This window comes from Homo sapiens, chromosome X, assembly GCF_000001405.40.
Source record: "Homo sapiens chromosome X, GRCh38.p14 Primary Assembly".
NCBI lineage: Eukaryota > Metazoa > Chordata > Mammalia > Primates > Hominidae > Homo > Homo sapiens.
The window spans coordinates 101,809,449-101,822,559 of record NC_000023.11 but is presented as its reverse complement, the minus strand read 5'-3'; positions in this window follow the sequence as shown (position 1 = coordinate 101,822,559).

Sequence of the window (13,111 nt, the reverse complement as noted above, 5' to 3'; positions counted from 1 at the left end):
CTGGAACCCCAGTGAGACAGAACCTTTCACTCCCCTGGAAAGGGGGCTGAAGCCAGGAGCCAAGTGGTCTCACTCAGCGGGTCCCACTCCCACAGAGCACAGCAAACTAAGAACCACTGGCTAGAAGCTCTTACTGCCAGCACATCAGTCTCAAGTCGACCTGGAATGACTGAGCTTGGTGGGGGAAGGGGCGTCCACCATTACCGAGGCTTCAGTAGGCAGTTTTCCCCTGACAGTTCTAAGGAGGCTAGGAGGTCTGGGCCAGGAGCAGCAAAGCGGCTGTGGCCAGACCGCTTCTCTAGATTCCTCCTCATTGGGCAGGGCATCTCTGAAGGAAAGGTAACAGCCCCAGTCAGGGGCTTACAGACAAAACTCCCATCTCTCTGGGACAGAGCACCTGGGGGAAGGGGCAGCTGTGGGCGCAGCTTCAGTGGATTTAATTGTTCCTGCCTGCCGGCTCTGAAGAGAGCAGCTGATCCTGACAAGAGGATTCTCCCAGCACAGTGCAACATCTCTGCTAAGGACAGAGTACCTCCTCAAGTGGGTCCCTGAACCTCGCGCCTCCTGACTGGGAGAAACCTCCCAACAGTGGTCGACAGACACCTCATACAGGAAAGCTCCAGCTGGCATCAGGCCAGTGTCACTCTTGGATGAAGTTTCCAGAGAAAGGAGCAGGCAGCAATCTTCGCTGTTCTGCAGCCTCCACTGGTGACACCAAGGCCAACAGGGTCTGGAGTGAACCTCCAGCAAACTGCAGCAGGCCTGCAGAAGAGGGGCCTGACTGTTAGAAGAAAAACTAACAGAAAGCAACAACATCAACATAAAGGACCCGCCCACAAAAACCCCACCCAAAGATCATCAATCTTAAAGATCAGAGGCAGACAAATCCATGAAGATAAGGAAAAACCAAGGCAAAAATGCTGAAAATTCAAAAAACCAGAATCCCTCTTCTCCTCCAAATGATTACAACTCCTCTCCAGCAAGGGCACAAAACTGGATGGAGAATGAGATTGACGAATTGACAGAAGTAGGCTTCAGAAGGTGGGTAATAACAAACTCTTCTGAGCTAAAGGAGTATGTTCTAACCCAATGAAAGGAAGCTAAAAACCTTGAGAAAATGTTATAGGAACTGCTACTAGAATAACAAGTTTGAAGAGGAACATAAATGACCTGATGGAGCTGAAAAACACATCACAAGAACTTCATAAAGCATACACTGAGTATCAATAGCTGGATCAATCAAGCAGAAGAAGGATATCACAGATTGAAGAATGAACAAAGCATCCAAGAAATATGGGACTATGTGAAAAGACCAAACATGATTGATTGGGGTCCCTGAAAGTGATGGGGAGAATGGAACCACCTTGGAAAACACACTTCAGGATATTATCCAGGAGAACTTCCCCAACCTAGCAAGATAGACCAACATTCAAATTCAGGAAAAACAGAGAACACCACAAAGATACTCCTTGAGAAGAGCAACCCCAAGACACACAATTGTCAGATTCTCCAAGGTTGAAACGAGGGAAAAAATGTTAAGGGCAGCCAGAGAGAAAGGTCAGGTTACCTACAAAGGAAAGCCCATCAGACTAACAGTGTATATCTCTGCAGAAACGCTAGAACTCAGAAGAGAGTGGGGGCCAATATTCAACATTCTTAAAGAAAAGAGTTTTCAACCCAGAATTTCATACCCAGTCAAACTAAGCCTCATAAACAAAGGAGAACTAAAATCCTTTTCAGACAAGCAAATGCTGAGGGATTTTGTCACTACCAGGCCTGCCTTACAAGAGCTCCTGAAGGAAGCACTAAATATGGAAAGGAAAAACTGGTACCAGCCACTGCAAAAACACATCAAAATATAAAGACCAATGACACTATGAAGAAACTGCATCAATTAATCTGCAAAATAACCAGCTAGCATCATGATGACAGGATCAAATTCACACATAATAATATTAACCTTAAATGTAAATGGGCTAAATGCCCCAATTAAAAGACACAGGCTGGCAAATTGGATAGAGTCAAGACCCATCAGTGTGCTCTATTCAGGAGACCCATGTCACGTGCAAAGACACACATAGGCTCAAAATAAAGATGTTGAAGAATATTTACCAAGCAAATAGAAAGCAAAAAAAGCAGGGGTTGCAATCCTAGTCTCTGATAAAACAGGCTTTAAACCAACAAAGATAAAAAAAAAAATGAAGAAGAGAATTGCATAATGGTAAAGGGATCAACATAAAAAGAAGAGTTAACTACCCAAAATATACATGCACCCAATACAGGAGCACCCAGATTCATAAAACAAGTTCTTGGAGACCTACAAAAAGACCTAAACTCCCACACACTAATAGTGAGAGACTTTAACACCCCACTATCAATATTAGACAGATCAATGAGACAGAAAATTAATAAGGATATTCAAGACTTGAACTCAGCTCTGGACCAAGTGGACCTAATAGACAGCTACAGAACTCTCCACCCTTAATCAACAGAATATACATTCTTCTCAGTGTCACATAGCATATATTCTAAAATCGACCATATAATTGGAAGTAAAACACTCCTCAGCAAATGGAAAAGAATGGAAACCATAACAGTCTCTCAGACCACAGCGCAATCAAATTAGAACTCAGGATTAACAAACTCACTCAAAGCCACACAATTACATGGAAATTGAACAACCTGCTCCTGAATGACTACTGGGTAAATAACTAAATTAAGGCAGAAATAAATAAGTTCTTTGAAACTAATGAGAACAAAAAGACAATGTACCAGAATCTCTGGGACACAGCTAAAGCTGTGTTAAGAGGGAAATTTACAGCATTAATGCCCACAACAGAAAGCAGGAAAGATCTAAAATCGACACCCTAACATCACAATTAAAAGAACTGGAGAAGCAAAAGCAAAAAATTCAAAAGCTAGCAAAAGACAAGAAATAAATAATATCAGAGCAGAATTGAAGGAGACAGAGACACGAAAAACCCTTCAAAAACTGAACAAATTCAGGAGCTGGTTTTTTGAAAAGACTAACAAAATAGATGGACCACTAGGTAGACTAATAAAGAAGAAAAGAGAGAAGAATCAAATAGACACAATAAAAAATGATATAGGGGATATCACAACTGATCCCATAGAAATACAAACTACCATCAGAGAATACTATAAACACCTCTGTGCAAATAAACTAGAAAATCTAGGAGAAGTGGATAAATTCCTGGACACATACACCCTCCCAAGACTAAACCAGGAAGAAATTGATTCCCTGAATAGGCCAATAACAAGTTCTGAAATTGAGGCAGTAATTAATAGCCTACCAACCAAAAAAAGCCTGGGACCAGATGAATTCACAGCTGAATTCTACCAGAGGTATAAAGAGGAGCTGGTACCATTCCTTCTGAAACTATTCCAAACAATAGAAAAAGGGGGACTCCTCCTTAACTCATTTTATGAGGCCAGCATCATCCTGACACCAAAACCTGGGAGGGACACAACAAAAAAAAGAAAATTTCAGGCCAGTATCCTTGATGAACATCAATACAAAAATCCTCAATAAAATACTGGCAAACCGAATCCAGCAGCACATCAAAAGCTTATCCACCACAATCAAGACGGCTTTATCCCTGAGATGCAAGCCTGGATCAACATATGCAAATCAATAAAAGTAATCCATCACATAAACAAAATCAATGACAAAAACCACATAATTATCTCAATAGATGCAGAAAAGGCTTTCAATAGAATTCAACATCCCTTCATGCTAAAAACTCTCAGTAAACTAGGTATTGATGGAACATATCTCAAAATAATAAGAGCTATTTATGACAAACCCATAGCCAATATCATACTGAAAGGGAAAAAGCTGGAAACATTCCCTTTGAAAGCCGGCACAAGACAAGAATGCCCTCTCACCACTCCTATTCAACATAGTATTGGAAGTTCTGGCCAGAGCAATCAGGCAAGAGAAAGAAATAAAGGTTATTCAAATAGGAAGACAGAAAATAAAATTGTCTCTGTTTGCAGATGACATGATTGTATATTTAGAAAACCCCATCATCTCAGCCCAAAAATTCCTTAAGCTGATAAGCAACTTTAGCAAAGTCTCCGGATATAAATCAATGTGCAAAAATCATAAGCATTCCTACACACCAACAATTGACAAGCGGAGAGCCAAATCATGAGTGAACTCCCATTCACAATTGCTACAAAGAGAATAAAATACCTAGGAATACAACTTTCAAGGGACGTGAAGGACCTTTTCAAGGAGAACTAAAAAACACTGCTCAAGGAAATAAGAGAGGACACAAACAAATGGAAAAAAAATCCATGCTTATGGATAGGAAGAATCAATATTGTGAAAATGGCCATACGGCCAAAAGTAATTTATAGATTCTATGCTATTCCTATCAAGCTACCAGTGACTTTCTTTGTAGAATTAGAAAAAAACTACATTAAACTTCATATGGAACCAAAAAAGAGCCTGTATAGCCAAGACAATCCTAAGCAAAAAATAAAAAATAAAAAAAATAAAAATAAAAGAGCTGAAGGTATCATGCTACCTGACTTCAAACTATACTACAAAGCTACAGTAACCAAAACAGCATGGTACAGGTAGCAAAACAGATATACAGACCAACACAACAGAACAGAGACTTCAGAAATAACACCACACATCTACAACCATCTGATCTTCAACAAATCTGACAAAAACAAGCAATAGGGAAAGAATTCCCTATTTAATAAATGGTGCTGGGAAACCTGGCTAGCCGTATACAGAAAACAGAAACTGGACCCCTTCCTTACACCTTATACAAAAATTAACTCAAGATGGATTAAATACTTAAATGTAAAACCCAAAAACCATAAAAATCTTAGAAGAAAACCTAGGCAGTACCATTCAGGACGTAGGCCTGAGCAAAGAATTCATGACTACAACACCAAAAGCAATTGCAACAAAAGCCAAAATTGACAAACGGGATCTAATCAAACTAAAGAGCTTCCGCACAAAAAATGAAACTATCATCAGAGTGAACAGGCAACCAAAAGAATGGGAGAAAATTTTTGCAATCTACCCATCTGACAGGTCTAATATCCAAAATCTGCAAGGAACTTAAACAAATTTACAAGAAAAAAACAACCCCTTCAAAAAGTGGGTGAGGGATATGAACAGACACTTCTCAAAAGAAGACATTTATGTGGCCAACAAACATGAAAAAAGCTCATCATCACTGGTCATTAGAGAAATGCAAATCAAAACCACAATGAGATACCATCTCATGCCAGTTAGAATGGTGATTATTAAAAAGTCAGGGAACAGTAGATGCTGGTGGGTCTGTGGAGAAACACAAATGCTTTTACACTGTTGGGAGTGTAAATTAGTTCAACCATTGTGTGAAGACAGTGTGGCAATTCCTCAAGGATCTAGAACCAGAAATGCCATTTGACCCAGCAATCCCATTACTGGGTATATACCCAAAGGATTATAAATCATTCTACTATAAAGACTCATGCACACGTATGTTTATTGTAGCACTGTTCACAATAGCAAAGACTTGGAACCAACCCAAATGCCCATCAATGATAGACTGGATAAAGAAAATGTGGCAGATGTACACCACGGAATACTATGCAGCCATTTAAAAAATGAGTTCATGTCCTTTGCAGGGACATGGATGAATCTGGAAGCCATCATTCTCAGCAAACTAACACAGGAACAGAAAAAACAAACACTGCATGTTCTCACTCATAAGTGGGAGTTGGAAAATGAGAATACATGGACACAGGGAGGGGAACATCATGCACCTGGGCCTGTCGGGGGATTAGGGACAAGCAGAAGGAGAGCATTAGGACAAATAGCTAATGCATGTGGGGCTTTGAACCTAGAAGATGAGTTGATAGATGCAGCAAACCACCATGGCACATGTACTCCTGTGTACCTATGTAACAAACCTGCAGGTTCTGCACACGTATCCCAGAACTTAAAGTAAAATTTTTTTAAAAATGAGAGTTTCCCTGAACAAACTCTCTCTTTGCTTGCTGCCATCCATGTAAGAAGTGACTTGCTTCTCCTTGCCTTCTGCCATGATTGTGAGGCCTCCCCAGCCATGTGGAACTGTAAGTCCATTAAACTCCTTTTTCTTCCCAGTCTTGGGTATGTCTTTATCAGCAGCATGAAAATGGACTAATACAGTAAATTGGTACCAGTAGAGTGGGGCATTGCTGAAAAGATACCCAGAAATGTGGAAGCAACTTTAGAACTGGGTAACAAGCAGAGATTGGAACTGTTTGGAGAGCTCAGAAGAAGACAGAAACATGTGGGAAAATTTGGAACTTCCTAGGGACTTGTTGAATGGCTTTGACAAAAATACTGATAATCATATGAACAATAAGGTCCAGGCTGAGGTGGTCTCAGACGGAGATGAGAAACTTGTTGGGAAATGGAATAAAGGTGACTCTTGTTATGTTTTAGCAAAGAAACTGGTGGCATTTTGCCTGTGCCCTAGAGATTTGTGGAACTTTGAACTTGAGAGAGATGATTTAGGGTATCTGGTGGAAGAAATTTCTAAGCAGCAAAGCGTTTAATAGGGGGCTTGGGTGCTGTTAAAAGCATTCAGTTTTAAAAGGGAAACAGAGCATAAAAATTCAGAAAATCTGCAGCCTGATGATGCAGTAGAAAAGAAAGTCCCATTTTCTGAGGAGAAATTCAAGCCAGCTGCAGAAATTTGCATAAGTAACAAGGAGCTGAATGATCATCCCCAGGACAATGGGGAAAATGTCTCCAGGGCATGTCAGAGATCTTCATGACAGCTCCTCCCATCACAGGCCTGGAAGTCTAGGAGGAGAAGATGGTTTCATGGGGCAGGCCCACAGCTCCCCTGCTCTGTGCAACCTAGGGACTTGGTACATTGCATTCCAGCCACTCCAGTCGTTGCTAAAGGGGCCAAGTTACAGCTTGGGCCACTGCTTTAGAGGGTGGAATCCCCAAGCCTTGGCACCTTCCATGTGGTGTTGAGCCTGCAGGTGCACAGAAGTCAAGAATTGAGGTTTGGGGACCTCTGCCTAGATTTCAGAAGATGTATGAAAATGCTTGGATGCCCAGGCAGAAATTTGCTGCAGGGGCAAGGCCTCATGGAGAATGTCTGCTAAGGCAGTGTGGAAGGGAAATGTAGGGGTGGAGCACAACCACAGAGTCCCTACTGGGGCAGCGCTACTGGAACTATGAGAAGAAGGCCATTGTCCTCCAGAACTCAGAATGGTAGATCCACCAACAGCTTGCACCATGTGCCTGGAAAAGCCATAGACACTCAATGCCAGCCCATGAAAGCAGCCAGGAGAGGGGCTATACCCTGCAAAGCCACAGTGGTGGAGCTGCCCAAGGCTGTGGGAGCCCACCTCTTGCATCAGTCTGGCCTGGATGTGAGACATGGAGTCAAAGAAAATCATTTTGGAGCTTTAAGATTTTACTGCCCTGCTGGATTTTGGACTTGCTTTGGGCCTGTAGTCCCTTTGTTTTGGCCAATTTCTCCCATTTGGAATGGCTGTATTTACCCAATGCCTATACCCCCATTGTATCTAGGAAGTAACTAACTTGCTTTTGATTTTACAAGCTCATAGGCAGAAGGGACTTGCCTTGTCTTGGATGAGACTTTGGACTATGGACTTTTGAGTTAATGCTGAAATGAGTTAAGACTTTGGGGGACTGTTGGGAAGGCACGATTCATTTTGTAATATGCGGACATGAAATTTGGGAGGGGCCAGGGGAGGAATGATATGGTTTGGCTGTGTCCCCACCCAAATCTCATCTTCAATTCCCATGTGTTGTCGGAGGGACCTGGTGTGAGGTAATTAAATAATGGGGGCAAGTCTATTCCATGTTGTTCTCATGATACTGAATAAGTATCACAAGATCTGATGGTTTTACAGAATGAGAGTTTCCCTACACAAGCTCTCTGTGTGCCACCACCCATGTAAGACATGACTTGCTCCTCCTTGCCTTCTGCCATGATTTTGAGGCCTCCCCAGCCATGTGGAACTGTAAAACCTCTTTTTCTTCCCAGTCTCTGGCATGTCTTTATCAGCAGCATGAAAACGGACTAATACAGAGCATGTCTGAGCCACGTTTGTGTTACAGCTCTTTTAGCCTCATTCAGCAGGTCCTGACTTCTTGTCCTGAGCCCAGGAAGAATGAGGTATGCAGACAAATGGAGGGCGAACAAGACAAAGGGGAGCTTTATTGAGCAATAGAACATCTCAGGTGAAATCTACAGGGGACAGCTCCTTTCCACAACCAGGGTGTTCCAATGAGTGTTCATCTCCTAGCATAGAGGTTAGCTCCTCTCTGCTAGGCAAGTTGTCTGGACAAGTGTTCAGCTATCAACAGAGAGTGTAGCTCCTCTCTGCAGCTGGTTGTCCCATTGTCTGTGCAGCTCTCAGCAGACAGGAGGCCCTAGAGTAGGTGGCTCATCTCTACAGGCAGGTCATCCCGTCATCTCTGCAGCTCTCAACAGACAGGAGGCCTTAGAATGGGGTGCTCCTCTCTGCAGCTCGTCATCCTGATGACTGCTCAGCTCTGGCTGAGCCCGAGGCTTTTACGGGACTCAGAGGGGAGAAAGTGTGAGCTGTTTGGTCCATGGGCAGCCATGGGCAGCCCCAGAAAAGGCACCACAAGTTCCCACTCTGGTCCACAGGGCTGGCAGCTCAACCCCCAGCCTTCAGGCCCTCCCTGGCCTGAAGGTGGAGCCTCACCAGGGACCTACACACTTCTGGCTTGGAACCTGTCTGTCTCCTGCTGCCATTCATAGTGCCCAGGCTGTAGGTGCCAAGGGGAGCCTGCAGGCCAGCCTCAGCTGCCCTCAGCCTCCCCTCAGCTTCCTGTCAGTGCTCAAAGAATGGAAAGGGCTGGGGTGGCAGGGGGCTTTCATGTCAGCACTGCACCAAGCACATGCACGCCTGGCTGGGATGCAACAGTGCCTGGGCTCAGCACCAACTATGCTCCGAAATTGGAGTGGGTGCCAACAGCAGGGAGAAGCCAGTCAGCAGGAGCAGGCACTTCCAAACCTGCAATGGCATGGAGGACCTTCCTGGGCCCCAAGAGTGCAGAGATGCCTGCGTCCACAGGTGCGTGGGGGGTGGTTGGGGCTCTTGCCTGCTCCCTGGAGTGGGAGGCCCAGGTCTGCAGCTGTTGTTTGTTTGGTTGCAGCTGTGCCCTGGAGGGCGGGGCTCCCGCCTGCTTCCATGCCCAAGAGCTCAGAGATGTCTAGGTCCACAGCCATGGCTTGGGTGGCTGCAGGGACACATAGGAAGTTCCCACGTCAACTTTGAAGGGGCCAGGCTTCCACTTGTCCCTGCTCCCACTGGCTCCATGGAGAGCACAACCAGCATGATGGCAGTGGCCACTCCAGACAACATGTCGCTGCCATCAATACAACAACAAAAATCACCTAACCATGCCTTTCTCAGAAGGTATCACCATCATTAAGTGACACATGATTGTATATATATAAACACCATCTGTTGGTGGTTCCAAGATGGCTGAAGAGGAACAGCTCCAGTCTACAGCTCCCAGTGTGAGCAACGCAGAAGATGGGTGATTTCTGCATTTCCAACTGAGGTACTGGATTCATCTCACTGGGGCTTGTCAGACAGTGGGTGCAGGACAGTGGGGGCAGCGCACCACGCATGAGCTGAAGCAGGGTGAAGCATTGCCTCACCCAGGAAGCACAAGGGGTCAGGGAATTCCCTTTCATAGCCAAGCAAATCTGTGAGAGACGGCACCTGGGAAATCGGGTCACCCCCACCCTAATACTGTGCTTTTCCAATGGTCTTAGCAAAAGGCACACCAGGAGATTATATCCCGTGCCTGGCTCAGAGGGTCCCACACCCGCAGAGCCTCGCTCATTTCTAGCACAGCAGTCTGAGATCCAACTGCAAGGCAGCAGCGAGGCTGGGGGAGGGGTGCCCGCCATTGCTGAGGGTTGAGTAGGTAAAAAAGGAGCCAGGAAGCTCAAAATGGGTGGAGCCCACCGCAACTCAAGGAGGCCTGCCTGCCTCTGTAGACTCCACCCCTGGGGACAGGGCATAGCTGAACAAAAGGTAGCAGAAACTTCTGCGTACTTAAATGTCCCTGTCTGACAGCTTCGAAGAGAGTAGCGGTTCTCCCAGCACGGAGTTTGAGATCTAAGAACGGACAGACTGCCTCCTCAATTGGGTCCCTGACCCCCGAGTAACCTATCTGGGAGGCACCCCCTAGTAGGGGCAGTAGGGGCAGACTGACACCTCACATAGCCAGGTACCCCTCTGAGACGAAACCTCCAGAGGAACGATCAGAGAGCAACTTTTGCTGTTCAGCAATATTCACTGTTCTGCAGCCTCTGCTGCTGATACTCAGGCAAACAGGGTCTGGAGTGGACCTCCAGCAAACTCCAACAGACCTGCAGCTGAGGGTCCTGACTGTTAAAAGGAAAATTAACAGAAAGGACATCCACACCAAAATCCCATCTGTACATCACCATCATCAAAGACGGGGAAAAAACAGAAGAGAAAAACTGAAACTTCTAAAAATCAGAGCACCTCTCCTCCTCCAAAGGAATGCAGCTCCTCACTAGCAATGGAACAAAGCTGGACGGAGAATGACAAGTTGAGAGAAGACTTCAGATGATCAAACTTCTACGAGCTAAAGAAGGAAGTTCAAACCCATAGCAAAGAAGTTAAAACCCTTGAAAAACGGAGGTGGAGCCAAGATGGCCGAATAGGAAGAGCTCCGGTCTACAGCTCCCAGTGTGAGTGACGCAGAAGACGGGTGATTTCTGCATTTCCATCTGAGGTACCAGGTTCATCTCACTAGGGAGTGCCAGACAGTGGGCGCAGGACAGTGGGTGCAGTGCACTATGCACGAGCTGAAGCAGGGCAAGGCATTGCCTCACTCTGGAAGTGCAAGGGGTCAGGGAGTTCCCTTTCCTAGCAAAGAAAGGGGTGACAGACAGCACCTGGAAAATCGGGTCACTCCCACCCCAATACTGCGCTTTTCCGAAGGGCTTAAAAAATGGCGCACCAGGAGAATATATATCGCATCTGGCTCGGAGGGTCCTACGCCCATGGAGTCTCACTGATTGCTAGCACAGCAGTCTGAGATCAAACTGCAAGGTGGCAGCGAGGATGGGGGAGGGTCGCCCACCATTGCCCAGGCTTGCTTAGGTAAACAAAGCAGCCGGGAAGCTCGAACTGGGTGGAGCCCACCACAGCTCAAGGAGGCCTGCCTGCCTCTGTAGGCTCCACCTCTGGGGGCAGGGCACACACAAACAAAAAGACAGCAGTACCCTCTGCAGACTTAAATGTCCCTGTCTGACAGCTTTGAAGAGAGCAGTGGTTCTCCCAGCATGCAGCTGGAGATCTGAGAACGGGCAGACTGCCTCCTCAAGTGGGTCCCTGACCCCTGACCCCCCGAGCAGACTAACTGGGAGGCCCCCCAAGTAGGGCCAGACTGATACCTCACACGGCCGGGTACTCCTCTGAGACAAAACTTGCAGAGGAATGATCAGACAGCAGCATTCGTGGTTCAAGAAAATCCACTGTTCTGCAGCCACCGCTGCTGGTACCCAGGCAAACAGCGTCTGGAGTGGACCTCTAGCAAACTCCAACAGACCTGCAGCTGAGGGTCCTGTCTGTTAGAAGGAAAACTAACAAACAGAAAGGACATCCACACCAAAAACCCATCTGTACATCACCATCATCAAAGATCAAAAGTAGATAAAACCGCAAAGATGGGGAAAAAACAGAGCAGAAAAACTGGAAACTCTAAAAAGCAGAGCGCCTCTCCTCTTCCAAAGGAATGCAGCTCCTCACCAGCAACAGAACAAAGCTGGACGGAGAATGACTTTGACGAGTTGAGAGAAGACTTCAGATGATAAAACTACTCTGAGCTACAGGAGGAAATTCAAACCAAAGGCAAAGAAGTCGAAAACTGAAAAAAAATTTAGACGAATGTATAACTAGAATAACCAATACAGAGAAGTGCTTAAAGGAGCTGATGGAGTTGAAAGCCAAGGCTCGAGAACTACGTGAAGAATGCAGCAGCCTCAGGAGCCGATGCGACCAACTGGAAGAAAGGGTATCAGTGACGGAAGATGAAATGAATGAAATGAAGCGAAAAGGGAAGTTTAGAGAAAAAAGAATGAAAAGAAACGAACAAAGCCTCCAAGAAATATGGGACTATGTGAAAAGACCAAATCTACATCTGATTGGTGTACCTGAAAGTGACAGGGAGAATGGAACCAAGCTGGAAAACATTCTGCAGGACATTATCCAGGAGAACTTCCCCAATCTAGCAAGGCAGGCCAACATTCAGATTCAGGAAATACAGAGAATGCCACAAAGATACTCCTCAAGAAGAGCAACTCCAAGACACATAATTGTCACATTCACCAACGTTGAAATGAAGGAAAAAATGTTAAGGCAGCCAGAGAGAAAGGTCAGGTTACCCACAAAGGGAAGCCCATCAGACTAACAGCAGATCTCTTGGCAGAAACTCTACAAGCCAGAAGACAGTGGGGGCCAATATTCAACATTCTTAAAGAAAAGAATTTTCAACCCAGAATTTCATATCCAGCCAAACTAAGCTTCAAAAGTGAAGGAGAAATAAAATACTTTACAGACAAGCAAATGCTGAGAGATTTTGTCACCACCAGGCCTGCCCTAACAGAGCTCCTGAAGGAAGCACTAAACATGGAAAGGAACAACCGGTACCAGCCACTATAAAATCATGCCAAATTGTAAAGACCATCGAGGCTAGGAAGAAACTGCATCAACTAACCATCAAAATAACCAGCTAACATCATAATGACAGGATCGAATTCACACATAACAATATTAACTTTAAATGTAAATGGACTAAATGGTCCAATTATATGCACCCAATACAGCAGCACCCAGATTCATAAAGCAAGTCCTGGGTGACCTACAAAGAGACTTAGACTCCCACACAATAATAATGGGAGACTTTAACACCCGACTGTCAACATTAGACAGATCAACGAGACAGAAAGTTCACAAGGATACCCAGGAATTGAACTCAGCTCTGCACCAAGTGGACCTAATAGACATCTACAGAACTCTCCAC